The sequence below is a fragment of the Homo sapiens genome, chromosome 2, assembly GCF_000001405.40.
Source record: "Homo sapiens chromosome 2, GRCh38.p14 Primary Assembly".
Lineage (NCBI taxonomy): Eukaryota > Metazoa > Chordata > Mammalia > Primates > Hominidae > Homo > Homo sapiens.
The window spans coordinates 146,837,265-146,861,829 of NC_000002.12; the positions used below are offsets into that span (position 1 = coordinate 146,837,265).

Consider the following 24,565-nt stretch of genomic DNA (forward strand, 5'->3'; position numbering starts at 1 on the left):
CACAAAGGTCTCTGTGGCTCCAACTTTCTATGATCCAGAAGTCGACTGAGAACGTTTTTCAAAAGGCTAAGGAAGGAAATTAAAAAGAGAGAATGTTCTAGAGAGCAGAGTCAAGATCCAATAAACATGAAGAAGAAAGAACTGGGAAACCACCCCCAAAAAGCATAACCTTGCCTTAACGAATAGTTACTACTCCCAGGTAGGAGAGCCTAACAATATTTTTCTACATATATTTTAAATTTCCGACAGATCAGTAACTGCTATGTACCTCCCATTTTTTTTCTTTCAGAATGGCAGTATTTATCAGTTACCCTATCCCTGTGTTAATATTGTAGGTTGGATGTTTATGGGACATATATTTTTTTTAAATTTCATGACTCTCTGAATCAAAAAAATTTACATTTGATAGGCTTCCTCTCAACTTTAACTGGATAACTGAATTCTAGAATTCAAGCCTGATGTCATAGTTCCATGAGAATTTTATGAGAAGGAAAAGGATGTTGTACATGGGCAGAAAGGTGAAAATTGTGGCCAGAGGCAGATTGTGGTAAATTACAAAATTGGCTCATAATCCTTTATTCCTTCTTGCCTCCATGCTCTTTGCAATGTGACTTTGCCACTTTTCTCATTAAGAGATGGATTCTGTTCTCCATTGCCTTCTGTCTGGACTGGTCTTGTAACTTGTTCTGGTTAATACAGAGGTAAATGTGATGACACATCAGAAGCCCAGGCCTCAAGCAAGCTTTCCCACTTGTTCTCTTGGAACCCTTCCCAGCTATCAGGTAAATAAGCCCAGGCTATTGTGCTGGATGATGAGAGGTCACTGGAACACTGATGAGCCATAACAGCTGAGGCCATTCTAGAATAGGCAGCTTTAGCCAACCAGGCAGCTGACTGCAGATACAGGCCTGCATCCAGATGAGTCCAGAAAAGCAACCTAGGTGAGTCCAGCTCTCATTGCTGGCCCATAAAATCATAAACAAAATAAACAATTGTTATTTTAAGCCACTTGGTTTTGAGATAGTTTGAGATAAAATGAAGCTAACTTTGGGCATGTTTCTTAGCTTTTCTCACCTTCTTTTGTTCACACACACACACACACACACAGACAAATCATATGAAAGAGTTTCTACCTGTTATGTTCTTAGGATAATAGTGAGTACATAGTAGATACTCTATAAATATCAGCTGTTATTATCCTCATTAGTGCTTCTGAGGAGGAAGCTCTGAGACATATTCAATATAATTACGTTATCATTAATTGTATACCTATTATCTGGACTCCGTGCTAGCTAGGCACTTCATATATAACACCTGTAATCATCACAACAAAATTCTGAATAATTGTTTTATTTCCTTTTTACAGATGAGGAAACCAAGTAATGAAAATGTTGAGTAACTGCATCTATGTATATAAACAAGTAGCCAAACCAGGGTTTGAAAAACCTCCTAAATTTTTCCATTGCACTATGTCCTCGGAGGTACAGAAAATAATGTTATCAATTCTTCACTTACCTATAGAATTATTATCCATCCATTCCTTTGCCATGGCCTTACGTGGTTGGTGACATGTACTTCTCTGTCCCTAGACTTTGGCATTGGCAATATGACTAGCTTTAGCCAATGGGATATTAACAGGTGTGACATGAGTAGAGGCTTGAAATACGGTTAAGCATTTATGCTTGTCATCTTGTGCTTCTATTAAAGCCATGAGAAAAACAAACCCCAGGTAGCTGCTACCCCTCCAGTTGGGAACTCTAAATGAGACAAATGGAACAGAGCTGCTTCTCACAGATGCAAAATAATTATAGCCACTTCACAGGTGCCAGGGTGAGACAGAAATGCTTAGTATCGTTTGCCACAGAGATATTTGTGGCTGTGTGTTACATAGCAATATCTGACTGATTCAGCTCTTTAGAGCCTTCAAATGTTGAATAATATAGCAATAGCAAAACATTTCATAGAATAAAACATGCTATAATCTGGTGGAGGTAGACAGGAGATAAGTGAATTTCAACCAGAAGAGGGAAAGATAGCTCTTTCATATGTGGGATAAAAATGTGGCCTCAAATTGGAGTTATTCTGCTTGGGAAATTTATGGAAAGAGATCTTCTATAAAGATTACATCTCCTAAATTTGAATGATAAAATATGCTTGTGCAGGGACAGGTTGACTCAGCAGGTCTGAGGAGTGTAAACCTTGCCCATTCCAAAGAAAGGATGGGACCCTGAATGGCTCCTAGGAGCCTCTAAGCCTTTAGAATATGGTACCTCATAAGAGTGTCTTTGTTTACCTGGAGCCTTGGGCCATGTGAGGCAGTTTATGCTAACAATGTAAGTTATGGTTGGGGCCTTGGGCCACATGATATCAGTTTGACCTCTGGAGAGGCTGAAGGCTGAGAAACTAAGGTCAGCCTCATGTGCATGCATGCCATGCCTATTTGACCAACCTCCAATAAAATCCTGGACACCAAGTCTCAGATGAGCTTACCTTGTTGACAACACCCCATTTGTGTTGTTACAGATTGTTGCTGGAAGAATTAGGTGATGTCTGTGGGACTCTACTAGGAGAGGACAACTATTAATAGAAGCTTGAACTTAGCCTTTCCTGGGTTCTGCTCTATCAGCCTTTCACCTTTGCTGATTTTAGTCTGTGCTCTTTCACTATAATCAGCCATAACCATTAGTAAAACAGATTTTCTGAGTTCTTTGAGTTCTAGCAAATCATTGAACCAGAGGGTTAACTTAGGGATCCCTTTCAACAAGGGTATTGGCCTCACACATTCTTGAAACTCAGTAATAATTCTGCTGTGCAGAAGCTTTTTAGTTTAATTAAGTCCCATCTATCTTTGTTTTTGTTGCATTTGCTTTTAGTTTCCTGGTCATGAAGTCTTTGCTTAAGCCAATGTCTAGAAGGGTTTTTTCAATGTTATCTTCTAGAATTTTTATGGTTTCAGGTCTGAGATTTAAGTCTTGGATCCATCTTGAGTGGATTTTTATATAGGTAAGAGATGATAATCCAGGTTCATTCTTTTACATGTGGCTTGCCAATTATTCCAGCACCGTTTATTGAATAGGGTGTCCTTTCCCAACTTTTTTGTTTGCTTTGTTGAAGATCAGTTGAATGTAAGTATTTGGCTTTATTTCTGGGTTCTCTATTCTGTTCCATTGGTCTATATGCCTATTTTTATACCAGTCCCACGCTGCTGTGGTGACTATGGCTTTACAGTATAGTTTGAAGTCAGGTAACAGAATGCTTCCAGATTTATTCTTTTTGCTTAGTCTTGCTTTGGGTATGCAGGCTCTTTTTTGGTTCCACATGAATTTTAGGATTTTTTCTAGTTCTGTGAAGAATGACAGTGGTATTTTGATGGGAATTGCAGCAAGTGTATTATTGTCTAGATATGGTTACTGTATCCCTGGTGAAGTGGTAATCAGCATCCTAGGGAACCCCTAGGTTCCTAAGGATCTAAAACAGTCTTGGTAGTCAGGTATTGCTTTTCTCAGATAATATAATATTTTAAAATATTGATTCTGAGGAAAGTATACTTCTGGATTAGATCAAGACTATCATGGGGTTGGACGGGCTTCTGGCATTTCCAACATCTGATTCTCCAAGTGACTGCTGCAGACTCTGAGCAATCTGAACTGAGTGAAGCTATTGCTTTATTCTCTAAAATAAGAGCAGTATTTGAATAGCATTTGGATTGTAAAGACTTTATCATTCACTGTTTTGATCAATTCATTATTGATAGCTAGGATAATTCAATGAAGACAAAACTGAGTCACAGAGTCCATATATGTCTTGGAAGGAGAATGGGGCAGATAACTTTTCTTTTTGGAAAAAAAATCTAAAGTCTCTGGATCAAAAGCTGCCTCAAATTAGGGCTCACAAGTTGGAAATGAAAGATTTTGGGCTCAAAATTGTCTATTTTTCTGGAAGGTAGAAGAGTGAAGAGCAAGGTTCTCAAATTTCTGATGGCATAAATGATTTCTAACATATAATTGTACACATAGAAAAACTATCAAAATAACTGAAAAGAGTACTGTGACAGAAGCCACATATGGTCCGTAAAGCCTAAAAATTTACTCTCTGGTCCTTTTACCAAAGAACTTATCGTAACAAGTAAGAACACTGCTTATCTTTGCCAAAGGTGGCCTATGTAATGACTACAATTTAGCATGTGGGAGTTTCTAGGGCTATAATGTTCTCCTTCTTAATGTGAGAGCTACTTACATTAGTATTCCCAGCAGAAAAAATATGCATCCAAATGTATGCCTATGATGTGTGCTTTGTATACATGCATTTCATTTCAACACAAAATTTATATTTATGTATGTATGCAAATGTGTGTGTATTGTGTATATGTATTAACCACTTGCACCACTACTTTATTCTTTTTTTTTTTTTTGAGACAGAGTCTCACTCTGTCGCCAGGCTGGAGTGCAGTGGCACAATTTTGGCTCACTGCAACCCGTCTCCCAGGTTCAAGCAATTCTACGGCCTCAGCCTCCTAAGAAGCTGGGACTACAGGCGTATGCCCACCACATCCAGCTAATTTTTGTATTTCTAGCAGAGACAGGGTTTCACCATGTTGGCCAGGATGGTCTCAATCTCTTGACCTCATGATCCGTCTGCCTTGGCCTCCCAAAGTGCTGGGAATGCAAGTGTGAGCCACCGCACCTGGCCCACCACTACTTTATTCTAAGCCACATGTATCTTTCACTGGAATTATTACAATGGCTTTCTGCAGATTCTTGCCTTCTTAGAGTTGATTCTCCATACAGCAGTCAGATACTTAATAAATCTGGTCAAAAGCCTCATGGGGCTTCTCAGCTCTTTCCAGGTAAATTCTAATGAGCTTGCTATGACCCACAAGACTCTATATGACCTAGCTCCCCTCTCTTCCTCTGACCTCTTCTGTTATACTTCCTCTGGCTCATTTTAACGCAGCTTCAAGGTCCTCCTTATTTATCCTAAGCACCAGGCAGAGTGTGCTTATGTATCAAGGTCTTTATACCTACCACTCTTTCTACCTGGTAGTACTCTTCCCCTAGACATTTTCATGGCTCATCCCCCACAGTTTATTTTGTTCTCTATTCAAATGGCACTGTATCAGAGAATAAACTGGGAGACTGTTAGTCCCCTGCACAATTCTATTTCCCTTTATCCTGCTTAATTTGTATTAATAGAACTTATTTCTGCCAGGCATAACGCATATATTATATTTGCAATTACCATCTGTCCTGTCCATTAGAATGAAAGCTGCATGATATTCATGACTTTATCAATTTTGTTCATGACTCACCTCAATACCTTCAATAGTACTTAAGACATATTTATTAAATAAATAATAAAATATTCACTTAATAAAGTATGAATTTGGATGTGGTCATTGAGTGAGAATCCCTATAGGCAATAAGTCTGAAGGCCGTATTTATTATTTTTTAAACTAGTCAGATATCCTGCCTTTCTGTGGGACATGGGTCCTTCCTACAGAGGTATGTGGTTTCTAGAGACCAGAAACCCTAATTCAAACATTGCCTCTGCCAATTCTTAGCTGTGTGGATCATGTTAAGTTTCAGTTTCCTAGACTATAAATTGGAGATAAACATAGCAGTTATTTTATGATATGGTTGGAAGAATCATATGGCAAATCCATATAAATCACTTAGTACAGATTTGGCATGTAAGTACTCAATATGTATTAACTGTTTTATTATTACCATTATTAGGATTCTAGTACCCACAGGTATTTGTGAATTCCTATACTCACAGCATCTGGGAGGGACAGTGGAAGTTCTTTATACTCAGAGCTGGATAACTGGAATATGTATTGACTGATAAATATATTTCAGATGAAAGAAAATGAGGCAGAAAATACTGGTTTACACATTTGTATTTCAGGTTAAGCTAAACTGAGGTCAATTCTGAATAAGAGGTGGGATAGAAGAGAAATGAAGGAAAATAATTAGCAGAGATCTAAGGATATTTGGGGAGAGAAATGAAATACAACATAAGTAGGTTGGCCAGGAAAAACAAACTTCAGCTAACAAAAGCAAGAAGACATTAATAGCAGCAGCATCAGAAAGTTGTCACCAACTAACCAGCAAGACCAGATTGGAGTGAAAGAAAGTAAAAAGAGAAGAGGGCTTTTCATGCTTGTGACCAAATTTTCTAGGTAGTAGATTCTATTATAATCTTAGTGCAAACCATTCTTCATGAAAATTTATTGACAACTTGCTGTGCAGAAATTGGGTTGAATAAAAATTCCATATGGATATGCATATAACATATGTAGAATTCATAAATTAGCAATTTAACTTAATTGTTTTAGGGTGGTACAAAATTAATACATCAATGAACACATTTTCTAAAATAATATATTTGTCTAAACATTTCAAAACTTCTGTCTTTCTGAAACTTGTTAACATTTCAGGATAAAATTAGTGTTGGAGAAAATTAAAGGGAAGAAAATCTTATTTTCCATAAACCCAGGAAGAAAAATAATGATAATAAAAGTTAAAACGTGAATTCAGTGTATGAGGTGCCTAATAAAGCTTACTTTAAGAAATTCTGAGACAAGTTTACGATTTTTGCTTCCATATAATATATTCCACTTACATAGTAAAAAAACCTCTTTAAATTAAAAATTTCTGTATAAAGAGATATTATTTCAGCATCATAAGTGCTGAATTTCCCAATTGTCATTCACTTATTGAATAATTTTCAAAAAAAAGGGCCAATTACCTAATACGGAACTTGCTTTCTTCTCAAAGTAATTTTCCATCTTATTAGTTTTATATCACAACTGATGCAGAACATGCTTCAAACACTATATATCATTTCCCAGTGTAGTTTATAAAAATGCAAACTAATAGAGAGTCTTCAAATCTTGATTAATTTATAACTTATTTGAAAAATTGGAATGTATTTTCCAGTTAAACTACAGACTATGTTCTACACAAACTCCTTGCAAATCTGGGTTGATTTGACAAAAAAGAAAAAAAAAAAAAGACAAAAACCATTGCAATGCTCTCTTCTGAAATAAAATGTGCATCTGAAGCTTGTGAATGCATCCATAAAAATTTAAGGATCTGTCCAACAGAACATCAAGTACACAAACTATTGCTTCAGTTTTCAAACTCAGTTAGTGACTAACAGTTAATCACTAACATGTAGCACATGTGACCCTGCGTAAGCCATAGTCTGATCTCTCCCGTGTTTTTTTATATTCTGAACATGAAGCAAATTTGACATTTATTCCATAACTCACTATTGAGAGTATAACACTCTTCATGTCTGCCTTTCTCATATGCACACACACACTCACATCCACACACAGGTATACATATACTTAGCTAATTTTATTAAGGAATATCTCTGGGAAAAGATCCATTTTATACAGAGCTAAAGATCAAAAACCACTCTGTCAGTTGCAAAAAAGCTTAGCAGCTTTCAGTTTATCTAGATTCATCACCACTGCTTTCCATCAGAAAACCCTTTGCCCAGATAAACATTTTCAAAATACAAACAGCAGATTCATCACACAAAACATTATTCATCTCAAAGTACATCTGAAAGAAAATCTCCAGCACAGTCGAGGCTTGTGACTCTGGAATAACTGGACAACTGACGGTCAGGGTTAGTGAGCAAAAAGTTTTACGTTCCTGCGTTTTTATCTGAAGTTCTCATATCTATCACACTAATACATTGTAAAGAAAACCAGAAAAATGTGCCACATGAGTTTGCCTTGATGTTTTCAAATGCTACAAAAGAATATTTTAATAAAGAGTTGAACACTGATCCATTTTTGTGAATTTGTACATTCTCTACTAGAGCTAAATCTAGCATTAATTCACTGGATCTGTTTTTTATGAAGGTTAAAAACTTATTTCAACTGTATAAAATACGTTATTTACTGAGACCCTCAAGGCGCATTTCCCTTTATGGGGCATTATGGGGCTTATATGGCATTATTTAAACACCAACATTAGTTTTCTAATTGCTTTCTTATTTGGCCTTATTTATACATACAAGACAAAAGAAAATTTATATATTAGCCTATCTGAATTAGATCAGGCTACAGGAAAATTCAAGAGGCATTAATCAGTTGCCAACAACTAACAGAGATGATATTAGGCCGGTTTATATTTTATCCATTGTCATTAAAATTTAGATATTACTCTAGTTCCTAACACAGCCCTATTCCAACTCTTAGGCAAATGAGTTTCATTACACTTGACTTAACAGAGAAAGAGTGTGGTCATTTGTTTTGTTATTGTTGTAGGTGAATCTGACATGATATCTGAAAAGATTTAGCCAGTTATGAAGATGATCAAAAATCTCAGATGAAAATGTCATGCCTTATCTACAGTAGTCATCACATACTCTTACATACTTACTGGGGAGCAGGGAATATTCTGTTTACCCCAGCTGGGGTTTAATGTATGGAAAGAGAACTTCATCTCTACTGCCGATCACTAACCAATCAGGTGTTCTCATGTATTCCACCCCATTAGTGAATGTATTATGGCCTGTTCTAGAACAGTAGGAACACCTATGAGCAAAAATGGTGTGCCTTCACACTGACCTTTACTTTCTACCTGATCAGTTGCAGTTTTATCATGTCAAATTCAAAACCAATAGTCATTCTTGTCATCAATCTTTAACAAGTTATGTGTTTCATGAATCATTAATTGAATCTAGAGAATTTTACCTTATAAAAAGTGTCACAGAGGAGAACCTCACATACCGGGGCCTGTCGGGGGTTGGGGGGCTGGGGGAGGGATAGCATTAGGAGAAATACCTAATGTAGATGATGGGTTGATGGGTGCAGCAAACCATCATGGCACACGTATACCTGTGTTACAAACCTGCACGTTCTGCTCATTTACCCCAGAACTTAAAGTATAATAAAAAAGAAGTTTTTCAAAAAAGTGCACAGATTGCTCAGAAACCCAAATCTTCACTCTGAATTTGAAGATATATGGGCACCATGTTAGACATGGTCCATCAAGAAAAGAAATGCCTAAGTTTGAGGAAGCGAGTCCAGATTCTAAGATATAACCACAACTGGGAAAGAGGGGGGAAAAATGAAAGATTTTGCTAATTCTTAATAACCCTGAGGTTATTGATTAGATCATTTTCTCTTTATAGTCAAAATTCTAAACCAAATTCATGTCTAGCATTTGATGAGCTCCCTTTCTTCTCTGTAGGTGTAGTCTATTTGTGCAAAAACTATAGCTGATGCTCTATCTCCCTGGGAAGTCTTCACTCTAATCTGGCTAAAATTTAAATGAGGAAAGATAACAAGATTGCTGAAGACTAACATTATTATTCTCAATTTATTTCCTTTCTGCAGACACTACTGGCAAAGACATTGAAAAGAATCACACTGCTAAACCAGTAGCAGCTTTTATCTTCTTCTCAGATTGTATACATGCAGGATAAAAGTGTTTCTAACACATAGACTTCTATATTCCAGCATAAAGATGTATTAGGCGCATTTATACTTTTACATCGAAGCCTGTTTCAACATGAACGGAGCCCAGGCAAGTGTCCTTGTCATCAATCGAGAGTGAAAGTTAGCTATACTTAAAAAAAAAATAGGTTTTAAAAAATATCAAAATAATTAGAAAAGAGTTTCAACTAATAACATACTTACTATTTGTATTCCATTTTGACAGTACCATGTTAGATCAATGACTTCATTTATCACAATATATTCCATGTTACAGTTACCTCTCAGGAAAATGACATTGATAGAGTCAACTTTCTTGAGAATTAAGCTTCTGTAACTTTTATTTAAAGGTGTCTCAAGCTTGTGCTTCTTAGTATTTTATGATATGTCTTTAGTTTTTGTAATTTCACTTTGTCAAAACATTACATTTGTCATTATTCATACTGAAAGACAAGGTATTTTGAAGATAAAAATCTACCAAGGATCATCTACCATTTGCTTTTGATATAAAAGATTTATAAGACCATTTAGACCACAAAAACAAACCTTCCTAAGGACATATCTATACATCAACAAATATTAAAAATTACATTTCTAGGAAATTAAAAACAATTTAGAAAGGTGCTTAGTTGAACAGAAATTAGCTACAACCAAAATAATGATTAATATTATAACCATAATCATAGAAAATAACAGTTGATTGCCACTTTCAAGAATAAAAGCAAATTCTGTGAATACAGAACTAAAATACTAAAAATAAACAAACAAGCTTGGGAGAGATTAGTCATGCAAAATCCAACCCTAGATATTTGATGGCAATTATCTTAATTTTTTACCTTATAATTGAGATGGTATTTCACTGGCAAAGCTTAAACCAAGTAATATTCACAAAAATGGAAGAAATTCATAATTAAAGAAAGTCATTAAGCAAAACAGAAAAAATATTTCAGTATCAAATTTTAAAGTTAATATTTTTTTTAAATGATGGATAAAGACAAAGCAAATTGATGGTATGAATTAACTAATAGTAATGAACATTCTTCTCTTAAATCTCCATCAGATACATTCTTATTTTGAAGAAATACCAAGGCAATTTAAGATAGGGGTATTATCAAATATTCCATATGTGATTTTCAGGAAGCAAAGCTATTCATTGCAGTACACTATGTCAATATTCTAACCATCAGAGAAGATATAAAATTTATAAAAGTCTTCTGTAGCACCCAAATCACAACAAATGGAATTGCTAAACATATCAGGTTTACAACATGTCATAACCTCAGTGTTCATTCCTGCTTTCTCTCTTGGCATAGGAAGCTAGCTGGCTCATAACCCATGCTTTTCACAACCACAGGTTCTTTATCCCTATATAACCAAATCCTCAAGAGAACAGCAGACAGAGGGAGAAGACAATTTATTTAGAGAACTATTATGTGAGGAAGAAAACAAGCTGCCATTTCCAATTTGAAACATAATTAGGAAGACAATAGCCTCCTGACTGATGCTCTTTGTTCCCTTTAGATATTTATGTAGGCCAGTAATTGGAGTGTATTTCCCTGTTCAATTTCACATTGTCTATAAAAGGGTTTCTCATGATCGATGACTTTCTAGTTAAATTCAGAAGAAAACATCTTGCAGCTACTGCCCTATTGCCATGGCCACACATCACTGCCTTCTAGACATGGTCAGTTGCTGAAACTTATTTTCAATTCTGCCAAACAGTTGAGTTAATAGGATTTTAAGAAGGAAAAAGTTGTTCCATGGGACTTGGGTGATTGAAGGCTTTCTATCCATTATTGAAAAACACTGGGAAAGTTAACCACCCTTTTTTGCTGAAAAATTAACATATATACTTGATGTAAATAAATGTCTATAGACATATTAAAGCATTCAGTCAATAACAACATCAAATGAAAGTTAGGATTGAGGCCCATTACATTTCCGAAAAGATGCTTTTAGGAGTGGAGGGAGACAGCTTCCTCCTTTCCTTTTATAAGCAGAGAAAAGTCATTTTTTTTCTCATTTATTGCATATGCACTTTCTGGCTACTCAGGTGGGAAAAAAATCCCATTGATTCTCATTACATTGCCCTGAGGACAAGCAGTGGGGCAAGGAGGCTTATACACTTGTTATTTACTATTAAGTAATTACTAAGCCATCCATCTCTGATCCCAAACACCCCATATGCATATTCGGAATAAAATTAACAAAGATGAATATTAAAAATCCAACATATTTATTGAGCAACTACTGTGTCTGACATATTGATTAACTTCACAACAAACTTATAGTCATTATATCCCCACCCTTCATAAGCTGAAATTAGAATTCAAAACTTAAATAACACCATATTAAAAACTCAGACTGACCCTTTCATTTGTCTCCTTTTTTATTTTGCTATGATATACTTCTCCCAGGGAAGTTGGTGACTTAATCCTCGTTATACCCTGATTTTGGACAAATTTTACAAGAAGAATAGGACTTCTACTTCTCTATGTCTACATGCACCTGGAACAGTGCTAGGTCTATGCTTACAAATTGATTGGTTCAGGTCACCGCCATGAGCCTCAGGACAGAAAATTGCCGGTAAGCAGTACTTCCAAATACTTTATAGGTAGATCAGGATCATGGTGATTTTTAACCCTTCATGACCCATAATCTGGACTGTGATAGAACCTTATGAAAAATAGCTATGCTATCTAATAAAACCTTGATACAATCAGAAATATATTAAACCAATTCTATATCCTTCTCTTTTCTAAGCTGCATTAAATGTCAAGATCATTTTCTAACTTTTACTCTTCAAATATTTAAAAGCTTTGGACTTTAAACTTGGTAAATATATCTATTTTCATAGTTAATATTGACTATATTATTCAGAATGGGATATATTAAGCTGCAATCATAAGCAACACCCAAATCTCAGTTGCCTAATATAGTAAAATATGTTTTTCTTTCTGTACATTGTATGCTTATCAGAGCCTAAGTCAGGCTCTGTTACTCATCATCCCCATTCTAAAACCCAGGTTCATAGAGCAGCTTGAATGTATAGCATTGCCAGAATCCATGGGACAGAAAGAGAAAGAATGGCAAATCTTGCACTGGTTTTTGGAGCTCACAGGCAGATATGGCACACATCATCTCCACTCACATTCCGTTGTTTAAAACAAGTCACATGGCCACACCTACTTATAAGCATGGAAGGAATGCAATCCCACCATTTGTTCAAGTGGACCAGAAATATTTGATAACAAACTCTAATGACAAAATACCTGGTTTTTGGCTACCAAATATTGGGTTTACTCTTCTTAATGCAGGCAAATACACTCATCCTCCCCAAAGGAAACAACCTAAGTGGTCAAAGTTTCAAACTTAATGTCCAAGATCTCTACATGATGCCTGATGTTGCTTTATCAAGTCCAAATATAGCTCATTTTGATCACTGTGAAGTAAAAAGGCAAGTCTTCTACCTTATTTTCTATATTGTATTCATAACCTTAACCTTTTAATCTGGTCTTTATGTTACAGGATATGAGAGAGAGAGAGAGATTTGACTGGGCTAAGAAAGAAATGAACACGATTTAGAGATGGAAATGGTGACATATGGGCCTTTGAAGCCTCCCATGTTCCAGAGAAGGTGAGCATGGCTCTGGTCATATGAGGGATATGTGTATATATGTGTCATATTAAAATCTTGATTTGTTGGTGGTAGAAGTAGGCAGAAGTTTAAATGTGGATAAAAGAGTGTCAAGGGATGCTGAGATGAAATATGAGTGGACTGTGCTGGATTAACTGTCGTCAGGTTAACATCATTGCCACTCCCATTGGTGGTCTTCTCTGCATTGCGAAGAGAAGGCTAGAAGCACATTCCCCAGAATCCTTTTCCCTGTGTGGTTTCCTGTATAGTTAGTTCCATCACTGACAGTCACTTCTGTGAACTTCGGAAAGTAAAAGGGAATAAAATGACGATATTCACTGGAGGCAGATTCACCCAGACACATGAGTACATATCAGATGTGAAGTTTCAAGGAAGTTCAGGGTGAACTTCTGCAAAATATTTACTTAGGTGCTATAGGCAGCTTTAGCTGATACGGCTTCTTGGGAACCACTCATCTCAGTGCAGCTGGCTACATAGTCATTTGGAACTTCCTAGAAGCACTTGAGTTCTGTGGCAGCTCCCAAGCAAGCTCTTGAGATCTACCACTTCCATTCTGCAGGCTGAGAGTTAGTGACTGCTTCTCACCTTTCACTCCACTGGTTTCCCACAACTGTGAATGCCTCTCATTCCATGTATTACCATAGACATGTAGAGCAGCTTCTATTTTTTTTTAAACCAAGCACTGACTGAACCTTGAGTAAGAAGGAATATCACAAGGAAGTTACTCGACATTAACCACGATTACATTTTGTTGGTTTTCAAAAAAATAGATTTAAAAAATTTTATTTGACTATCTTTAAGAAGACTTACTAGTAAGATAATAATGAAAAGGCAAATATCTATTTCTGTTCCTACTGTTATTAAATTTTCAAAACGCAGTCATTAATACTATTGCATTGTAAGAAAAAAATAATTTAAACAAATCCTAAAAGTTTTCATTGACTTTTCAAGTAAAAGTATAAACTCACAAGAAAGAACTGTGTAATACAAATTTTGTACTGTTTTTAAGTCTAGTTCATTTGAAACTCTGCCAGAAATAATATATGCTTTGAAAAATAACTACTTGAATGTTAATATTTTTGATTTCAAATCAAAATAAATAAAATCTGCAAGAAATGACACAAAATTCTACTTATAAGCGTAAGGAATCATAGATGAGAGACATGAAGAGTTTCAAATTATCCAGTATTTTTTTTTTAATAAATGACACGTCTGAAAATATAACAAGTATCTCCCACCCCTAACAGACTATCACATCCCTATTTAGCTTCTTATTTGTCTCTGTCAGGCTGATCCATGGGTTTAGTCCCCAGGTCATCACAATGAGACTTGGCATTGATCACTGAAATTTATGATACTTTGAAAGATCGCACCTGATTAATGGCGCAGCCACAATTTATGTATTCTCCTAGCCACGTTCATTCACAGTCAGTGCTGGCAGGATGTTGAAATTGTGGGAGGAATTTTAAATAAATTGGAGACTGGCATGAATCCTGGGGTCTCTATCCCTTTATGATTAAAAAACCTCTTTATTTCTTCAGGTAGTACCAAAGGTTTTTTGAGGCACATTTTGCCCAAAAGATGGCTTCTTTGTGGCAGCATATTTGCTTACTCCTGTAGCCTCAAAGTTAACTTTAAAAATTTTAAAACGTTATTAAACTCCGAAAAATGTTAAAATCTTGGCACTGTTTCACAGGCTAAGTCTTATCCACCAATCCCATCCATTGTCTCTCCTTGTCCTCATTGGGCTCTCTCTAATTATACTAATAGATTGAAGATGCTGAGCCTCAGTTTCCTCATGTGCAACGCAGGAGTAATTACAGTGCATCTTTCGGAGAGTTACTGTGAGATTAAATGAGATAGTCATGTGAACTACTTGGCCCTGTGCCGGGGATCAAGTAGTTATCAAATGCTATGTATTAATTTCCTCAAATAGTATCCTATAATATAAGCAACAAATGAAGATTAAATAGAATAATTCAAGTACAGTAATCAAAGGTCATACAACTGTTTTCTAACTTTATCTCAATGCCAGATTTTTTTTTTAGGTTCTAACTTTAGAATCCATGTTATATTCATGGTTTTCTTACTGCATCAACAACTTTGGCATTAAGTGATACCATGCACAACTCTTCTAGGTGGTCTTTTTTTCCCTCCCAACCTAACTTCTGACTAAGCTTTGCTCGGTCTATAAACATAAGGAGAGCATCCATGGTGGTATGACCCTAGGCAAATGAATGCAAAAACAAAACATCTAATGGGAAACAAAGTAAAAATCAATTAAGTGAACATGAACAAAATTCTTGGAAACAATGTCCACATTCCTTGAGATTCCTTTTTATCAATATTGGTTCCCTCATTTACGTGTGTCTAGTTGGTTTCCCTCCCTTAAATCATCACTTCTCCCAGCAGTTGGTAGACCTCCCAGGTATCTCACATATGGGAAATTTGAGGTCTGTGCCCACCTGTCCTCTCTGCTCCATTCCACAAAATATGAGCTCACCCTCCACAGCTGTCAATAGCTTTTGAAGTTCTCTTCATGTATCCTGTCATGCTATTAAATCATTTTTTCCATGTAATTTTCCTTACATAAACTATATTGTTTGGCCTGTAAAACTGCCAAAACCTCAAAGGAATGTCTTTAACAAATTTTAATGATCCTTAATTTTATCACATAGACACTCCTCCACGTACTTCTAAGGTTTACCAACTTAAAAATTAAGGTGAGAATTTGCACCTGCTACTGTATCTCGCTTCCACCCTGGCATATTTACTTAAGGTATTCTTTTTTTCAAATCAGAGATTTGTATTTTCCACAAATAATTTGTGAACCTGTTATCTGACTTATTTTTGATGGTAGAAAATGAGTTACTGGACACTGCACATAAAACATCTTACAGTTAAAAGGGAAACAGGTGGTATTTAAGGTGGCATTTACATGGACAATATGGGCAATTAAAAGCAAAACATTTTTGATTCATGACTTATCTTAATCATCTTGGCAAAGGGCTAAAAAATGTAAACAACTGGAGATTTGACATGACCTAAGAGGTTTTCTAGACCAGAATGCTAGGGAATAGTTAATACCCCATAAACCTATGTAAAACTACTCTCCTTTTTCTAAAAAGTATGTGTGTGTTCTAATTAAATAGTATTTTTTAACTCATGTAAACAAAGAGGAAAGGTCACTTAAAAAATTTTGTTCTGCATTTTGTCAATGACTATAAATCCCATACCTAAAAATGGAGCCTGCCTAATTCAACATCATTTACTTCTCAAAAGCAGTCATCAAGGTGGGCAGGAGAAATATATAAATTTAAAGTCTGAACAGATTGGGGTTCTACTTCCATAGAATAAATGGTACTCTGCTTCAAATCTACAAGCCTCATTTTTCTCATCTTAAAAATGAAAATAAAGATTATTAACCAAATTAGGGTGCTTAGGAGAAAGGAAGCCCTGAGTAAATGCTCTTTTCTTTCTATCAGCCTTTTCTAGCTGATCTCCCACCATGACATCCTTCCCCCACAGCTGGTTTGTCTGTTATTCCACCCTCTGACTTCATCCTTCAGGTATTTCACTACTGTAATCCTCAAAACAGCCCTCTGAAGTTGTTTTTTTATCTTCATTTTCAAGGGGTTGGGGAATGGAGGTGTAAAGAGGTATATCAGTCAGGAAAACAAATACCACTCTAGGTATTTCAAACGGAGAGAATTTAAACTCAAGAAATGTCCACACAGGTAATGGAAAAGCAGAAATAGCTAAGGGGTATCTGAGGGAGCCCAAGTAATAGCAAAAGCAGAAAACTACCCGTAGCCTTCCTAGCCATGGAGGTGGCTAAACCCAAAGCCAGGGTCATCCTGTGGAGGTGACCTCAGGTATCCATTCAGGGAGAGCTGAGGCCACCAGAACATGTAGCCACTGCTGAAGCTGCTGCTGAAGTTGGAACAGGAGCAATTCAGTTACCCTCCCAGCAAGCAGAAGGCTCAGAATTGAAATCCACATACTTATTATAACTCTTTCCTTATGAAATGGATATTTTACATGTGAGAAGGCTTACAAATCATAAATCCCAATAGAAATTTAAAACCTTATAATACAGCATTAGGATATGAAGAACTTTGGAATCCCCTTCAAATAAGAGATCATGAAGAATTCTTGGCCCCAGAACTTGCTTGACAGTTTCCTTGAGTGATTTCATACATTCTAATGGCTTTGGGTCAAAAGCAGGGCTTCAATAAAGGTTTGTTGAATGAAAGGGCGTCCAGTTGGATTTTACCATAGTTTTAATTATGACATCTTTTGGCCCACTAGATTTGATCATGAACTTTCATTTCAAAACAAAAAATCAGAAGACTAGAAGAAACATAGCGTGGGATCACAGTTTAGATAGATCTTTTTTGCTTTTTCATCTTATTTCTATAGTTGAATTAAACTTTCGAAAAAAAAATACATAAAGCAGAGGTATTTGAAGCAATGAATAATAAGATTGGACTTCTGAAGTGTGGTTCACACCCACCTCATTTCCTAAGCCATAATCCTGGTATAATGTGTAAAGGGATTTGCAATGAAAGATAGTAAATCCAGTGTGTATCAATTATTCATACATTCCAATTGGCAGTGAACCCAGCAAATGTATTCAATGAGTGGTCTCTATTCCCACAAATTTAGAAAGTGCATAATGGATGGAAAAATAAAGAATTTACTCTTCAATACTCGCTTACAACAGCTCAGTAAAAGAATGCTTATATATAGATAAAGTTTTCAAAGTATTTGTTGAAACTGCTGACCAAACTACCCAAAACTACAGCTGAACTTCTGCCAGCTATGAAAGGGCTGTGCTTGAACTCCATTTCACAGTTTCTGGTTTTCACAGCCTTTAGGCAAACACAATTCAAACCCGTTACTATGCTTGAAAAGATCTGTTTCAGAAACTGTTACACAAACAGAGAAGCTAGCACACATTATCCTAAAATGCTGCTGTGTTTAAGGAAAAAAAAAAAGCCATCTGATTTCTTAAAGTTCTATGTGATGCACCATTGAAATTTGCATATGAAAAATTTCAAAGCTTTAGCATTTAGAGGCTTTGAAACCCTTTAAGTTTTAATGTTTTCAAGGACCTGAAGTTTGACCAACTTCTCTTATTTTCCAAACTAATTGGTGAATAGGGAAGAATATTTTGTACTTTATGCTTTGTAAATGATAAAGGCAACTGCATTTTGTATTGAAGGTATTTGTTTAACTGAAATGTGAAAAATCATTGACAAAACTAGAAAAAGTCAATGGTCCCTTTTACTTACAAACACAAGTCACCAAGAGCTACCTTATCTATAATTATTTGCATTGTGACAGCAAAATCTCAATAAAGTAAGTTCCTTCCATTGGAAATATGTATACAACTTTCTTAACAATAATTAGAATGGAACATTATTTTTGACATTAGGAAATTCTAGATCTAAATATATAGTTAATTCAACCTTGAAGCAAACTTTTAAGATTCAATGAACTGTCAAAATTAATAGAAAAATCCTCGTATTCAGATCAGTACAAAGAAAAAAAAAAGATGATTGAGTTAGGCATAATACACACTAGGGGCCTAGTAAAAGTTGAATGAAACAAAATTAGCTTCTTCCTTGTCAAATAAGACAATACCAAAAAGCAAAGAAAACACAAAGAATATGATCACTGCAACGCAAATTAACAAGCATCCCCAGTTTGGGCTTTTAATTAGTAGAAAACCTAAACTTTTCCGAGTCAGACTGCAGTTCTAAAAGGGAGTTTGGTGAAATGGTTTTGCTTAGATGAGATTATTTCTAGTAGTGCTTGCTCTTGTGGTACTATGATTGTTTTAGGATTGGAATCCCCTCCCTTTTGCATGGCCAACTTCAGTCTTATCCAGTAAGATAAGCTCCATTGTTACCTCTGGTAGATGGTATTATCTGATGCCTCTTTCAGGTAGCATTGTGTCACCTCTTCTACTTGTACTGTCTCTGGTTTGTTACTATTCTCTTTATTCATATGTCTCTCCTCTCCCACCATACAGTAAATTCATAAGAAGCAGCAGAAACCACTTTTGTTTTTGTTTTTTGAGATGGAGTCTTGCTCTGTCACCCAGGCTGGAGTGCAGTGGTGGGATCTTGGCTCACTGTAACCTCCATCTCCCGGGTTTAAGCCATTCTCCTGCCTCAGCCTTCCAAGTAGCTGGGACTAGAGGTGCGTGCCACCACGTCTGGCTAATTTTGTTTGTATTTTTTTTTCAATACAGGTGAGGTTTCACCATGTTAGTCAGGATGGTCTCGATCTCCTGACCTCGTGACCTGCCCAGCTCGGCCTCCCAAAGTGCTGGGATTACAGGCATGAGCCATTGCGCCTAACCTCAGAAACCATTTTTATAACCTCAATACCTAATAGAAACTGGCACATGGGTGAGTACTGAATAAATATTTGTTAGTTAGCCATGTGAAAATTTTCTTTATACAAGTTGAGATTGGTAAAGAATGGACCTTCTCATTTTACCAAACTGTTCTACAATAATATTTTGTCAATAATTTTTATTTCAGCCCAAATTTTAAAATAGTTGTTATGTTAGGAAAAACAACCTCTCAGTTTTTTAAATGATGAAACCAAACTTTGTCAGCTGCTAAGTTTTAAATAACTGAGCCGACTATATCAAATTTTAATGGAAAATTATATTTTAAGTATTGTAAAAAAAAAACAGATTTATCACAAAGCTGGCCTATCCTCCCTAAAAATGAAAAGCAAAGAAAAGGGGAGACTTCATTCATTTTCTTAAAAAATACTACTCTCATATTTTAGATTTTATATTGGTTAGTCAATTCTAAAGTTTGAAAATCTATCCTTGAAGTTACAGGGTTCTCAGTCTTTGAGGGGACCTGATAAGATGACTTTTTTGAGGAAATGTTGTTTGGCTGCTACTCAGGATACTAATGCTTCATTTGTTCAATTCCTTGCGACTCCATCATCGGTAATTCATCATCACAATGTCACCTTGCCTGTCAGACTCAACGAAGGAGGGATGCGCATGGGCATTTAACTGTTTTCTCCCTTGCTGGAATTGGCAGCTATTATTAAGAGTTAGTAGCACAATGGGGTAGGAGAGATGTCTTAGCTTTGGCATATATGCTGTACATGAACAAAGAACTTTGATCTTCAAACCTGCCAAGCTGACATCTTGCACAGGCATAATGTTCCCTCAAAATTTAAATACAAAACCAAAAAACTCTTCCATCTGGGATTACAGTCATATAATTTCTATATATTGCTAGCCTCAAAGGACTGAATTCTTTACAATACTATTTCAGTCATTTTAAAAATAAAAAAGATGAAGTCTTGGAATGGTTGACCCACATAGCAGCTCAGCTGGACAATGATAATGCTTCTGAATTTTAACTAGAAAGTATCCATGCTGTGCAAAGCCACAAACTTTCCATTCAGGATATAAGAAAAAGTGAATACTCCTAGTGAGATACTTAGCTAGTTATAGACAGCTGAATACTAGCTAGTAGTTTTTACACTTACTTTGTTTGTCTGTCTAAGGCTTTATTTGAAACAGAATTTGTAATCCTAATTTTTCAGACTGTGTGCGAAATGTTCAAACTTGCTCACTGGGTTAAAAAGGATGGACAGCTTAGAGAAAAAGAAGAAAAAAAGGAAACTCGGCTGTGCGCAGTGACTCATGCCTATAATGCCAGCACTTTGGGAGGCCAAGGTGGGTGGATCACAGGGTCAGGAGATTGAGACCATCCTGGCCAAAATGGTGAAACCCTGTCTCTACTAAAAATAAAAAAAAATTAGCCGGCTGTGGTGGTGCGTGCCTGTAGCCCCAGCTACTTGGGAGTCTGAGGCAGGAGAATCTCTTGAACCCGGGAAGCACAGGTTGCAGTGAGCTGAGATCACACCACCGCACTCCAGCCTGGGCAACAGGGCAAGACTCCATTTCAAAAAAAAAAAAAAGCAAGCCCATCCTCACATCCAAAAAACTTAGTATCTGTGTCCTAGTAATGATGGAAGTAGTCATTTCTTCACATGTGTATAACATGTGTCTATATAGATAAGTAAATACCATTAGTCAATATAAAACTTAATAATTTCATGACTCATCTCTTCAGGCAACTTTGCAAATTAAATGGTTCACATATGAAGGAGCACAGCTGTAGAAGGAAAATAAGGAAGAGAAAATAACTTCGGAAAATTCCCAGGACTCATACTCTAAAGGTCATGGTTCCAGTACCAGCTTGGCTAGTAATTAATTGGATTTTGGTCTTAGATAAATACAGACTTCTAGATCTGTTTCTTCACATATAAAATGAGAATAATCACCACAGTCCTGATCTAATATACTAAGATTTAGTGTCAAAAAGAAGTGTGGTTCCAAGAGTCAGTTATTGTGCAAGTGGGTAGAAGTGCTTTAGAGTAAATATAAATTCTGACTCTTTGCTACTTTCTTACTAGACAGTTAGACAAGTCATTTAGAACTCTATAGATCAGCAAAATAGGTATAACATTTTCTGTTTCATATTTGTTTTCTAGGTTTAAATGAGAGAATGAGTATCAAAAAGTATAGCATGTGCCTCCGTAGGAAAAGTTTGGTAAATCTCAGCAGCTAATTATAGGAATAATCATGGTGGAAAAAGGCAGCAGCAGTATTTCAAAGCCAGTTGCTTTCAGGGGAGAAAATGACTGCAAGGTTAACAAAACTTAGCCAAAACCTGATTGAAAATAGGGATATGATTCAAAATGGCAGATGGCAACCCTAAGTAAGATTATTTAGCAATAGAAGCATAGATACAGAGGAGCCATTGAGAACACATAAGCAATGATTATCTGAGCTCTATGAATGAAGATCTAGTGTCAGATGAATGTGAGTGTAGGTCCACTGAGCGAATACATTTCTATGAAAGGAATTCACGTATCAAGTTTTGAGCCCTGATGGTATCAAATATTCAAAAAGTTGTAAACACCCCTTCTTGTTCTGATTCCAAAATAATCTAACAACTATATAATTATTTTTATGTTTATATATTCATCTATATAGAGAAAATGTAATGATCAGGCTAACATGAGAATTCATTCATTCTGCCTGACACATCTCTCACTGGGAGTTGACAATCTAATGTTCTGAATTTCTATTCCAGCCCCTGTGAGCTGTGACTGCAAGAGTCAGCACCTAAATTAGATCAACACTACAACATCAAAAAGGTAGAGGGGTTTTATGAGCCATAAAGTCAGACTCTGAGCTATGATACCTTCATTTACACACTGCTTTTAAAATATTCTAAGTATCTGACGTATTTGACACCAAAACCTTTTTAAATGCTATTCTTTTGATTTTCCAATACAATTCAAACATTATACAATTCATTAGTTTATTAACAAATTGCCACTATAATATATAGATATAGGTATAGTAAATCTGGGTTCTAGATTACCTCTCAAGTTAGCAAATATAAATCAATATATTACCCAATACTAAATGCTAGTGATAAAACGACAACTCTACATTATTTAGACAATGATGCAAGAACCCTAAGATAGTACAAATACTTCAGAAAGAGATTTATTTCATATTTGGCAAGAACCTTAATAATAGAAAATAGGCCGTAAAAATTCACAGTCTATGTAAATATAATTATGCAAAAAATTAAAATAAGAAAGCATGTATTTAAAAATGACTGAAGTCAAGTTCAAAACATGGTGGACTGAAATGATGCAGACTTCTACCTCATTCCAAATACTTACAAATGCTAAGATATGACAATTAAACAAAAGTAAAGAAAATACTTAGCTAACCTTGAAAGACAGACAAAAATGACCAAGTCTCAGGAACTTGAAGTCAGAAGAACAAAACACATGAGGCAACACTTCAGAATGAGATCTAAAATGAAAGACGAGGGAAATATGACCTCTAAAATGAGCCCAACATGTCAAGATCAGGATAGTATTTCACAGGCAGGGGCAGAGGACAAGTTCACAGTTGGAACTGGAATCCCTGAATGAGATTTGAACCCTGGGAAATCTTCCTACTTGGTGAAAATTGACTTAGAGAAGTTGTACCTTCAGGCCCAGAAAAGTCCCAAGAAATAATTACGTTTCTGTGTCTGACTAGGATTCTGTATTTCTTTTAAAGTCTCTTTGCAGAAACTGAAATCCCAAGACTGTCCTCTGCATATATACATTTCAAATTTACACTGTACTAATTGTGCAGAGATCTCAAAAAAATTTACATAAGGACTGATACCAGACCAATTAAGCCTCTGAAGGCAGTGGCAGTTGTAAACCAAAATTACTCTGAAATCCCATTTTCATAATCTCGCGCTCATAGAACACATGCAGAGAAAAGAGAACAACAAAAATTAAAGAAATTCCTAAAAAATATTTCCATGATGAAGAGAGGAGATGCAACAAACAGAAGAACTTGTAACAAAAAAACTTGTGAAATAAAGCAACCTACAGTGTGTGAAAAATAGGTTTTTAAATAATTATTTAAGGTGCAAAAGAAGGAATAGAATCCTATAAGCTAAAAGACACCAAGAATAGCAAATACACTTAAAGGCATTAGAGATATGATTATTAATACCACTAAGTTTTTTGTAACAATTTAACATCAAATAAAGCTGGACTCAAAAGGAATATATAAGCTGGAAGCTGGGTATGGCTACATTATTGAGGAAGCAAAAGAGAGACATGAATGTAGACAACACAATGGAACAACCACCTAGGCTAAAATGAAAGGATCTGACTTAAGTTCAACAAAGGTTGATAAAAGAAAAAAGAGTTAATTGGGGACAGAAAAAAATCAAAGAAATAATAGGTGAAATTTTTCCAGAATTAGTGAAAGGCATAAATTCTTGGATTAAATAAGCAAAATAAATATGAACTCAATAAATAAATATAGATCCAAACCTCCGTATATTATGGAGAAAATGCAGGATCTAAAAAAAGAGAAAAGTTTTACAAATCAGAAGTTTTTAAAGAGTAAAAAGACTTGGTTATTTACAAAGGAATCAAAATTGTTAACAGTTTACTTCTTGGCAAAAATGTAAGAAGACAATAAAATAATATCTTCAAAAAGCTGAGATAAAAATAACAGCCTAAAATTCTAAAGTTCCAGTGAAACAGTTTCAAATATTAATACAAATGAAGGCATTTAAGAGACAGAGATAATTTACCACTCAGATTCTGATTGAAAGGTCAATTAATAGATGTTCTTGATAAAAAATAAATTAAATCAAAAACAAACCTACAAGAAGGAATAAGGAAAGAAATTGCTCATCAAATTCTAGAAAAATTGTTTAGAATTTTAGAAGAATTTATGAACTTAGGTATTTAAATAGACTGTCTTTTCGATAAAATAAAACTTTTAGGTAAATTGTCTAAATACTTTTTTTTTAATCACAATTACCAATTTAGAGGGGAATTAAAATTAC

The 24,565-nt window shown here is 35.5% G+C and overlaps 1 long non-coding RNA gene across 7 annotated transcripts in view; it reads left to right on the top strand.

The window, feature by feature from the left end:
* Positions 1–426: 426 nt before the first annotated feature.
* The window catches only part of LINC01911 (long intergenic non-protein coding RNA 1911), a 40,530-nt gene continuing 16,391 nt past the window's right edge, over positions 427–24,565 (top strand). Inside the window, exons 1-8 of one of the 7 annotated variants that reach the window (NR_187165.1) lie at positions 427–941; positions 9,365–9,554; positions 10,985–11,147; positions 11,881–12,049; positions 12,992–13,100; positions 16,607–16,690; positions 19,384–19,543; positions 22,274–22,337. This is a non-coding gene — a long non-coding RNA (long intergenic non-protein coding RNA 1911). Of the gene's footprint in view, positions 942–9,364; positions 10,406–10,984; positions 11,148–11,880; positions 12,050–12,991; positions 13,101–16,606; positions 16,691–19,383; positions 19,544–20,714; positions 20,848–21,247; positions 21,381–22,273; positions 22,338–24,565 lie in introns of those variants that run through there. The other 6 variants (NR_187164.1, NR_187166.1, NR_187167.1 and 3 more) reach the window with 6 other exon arrangements.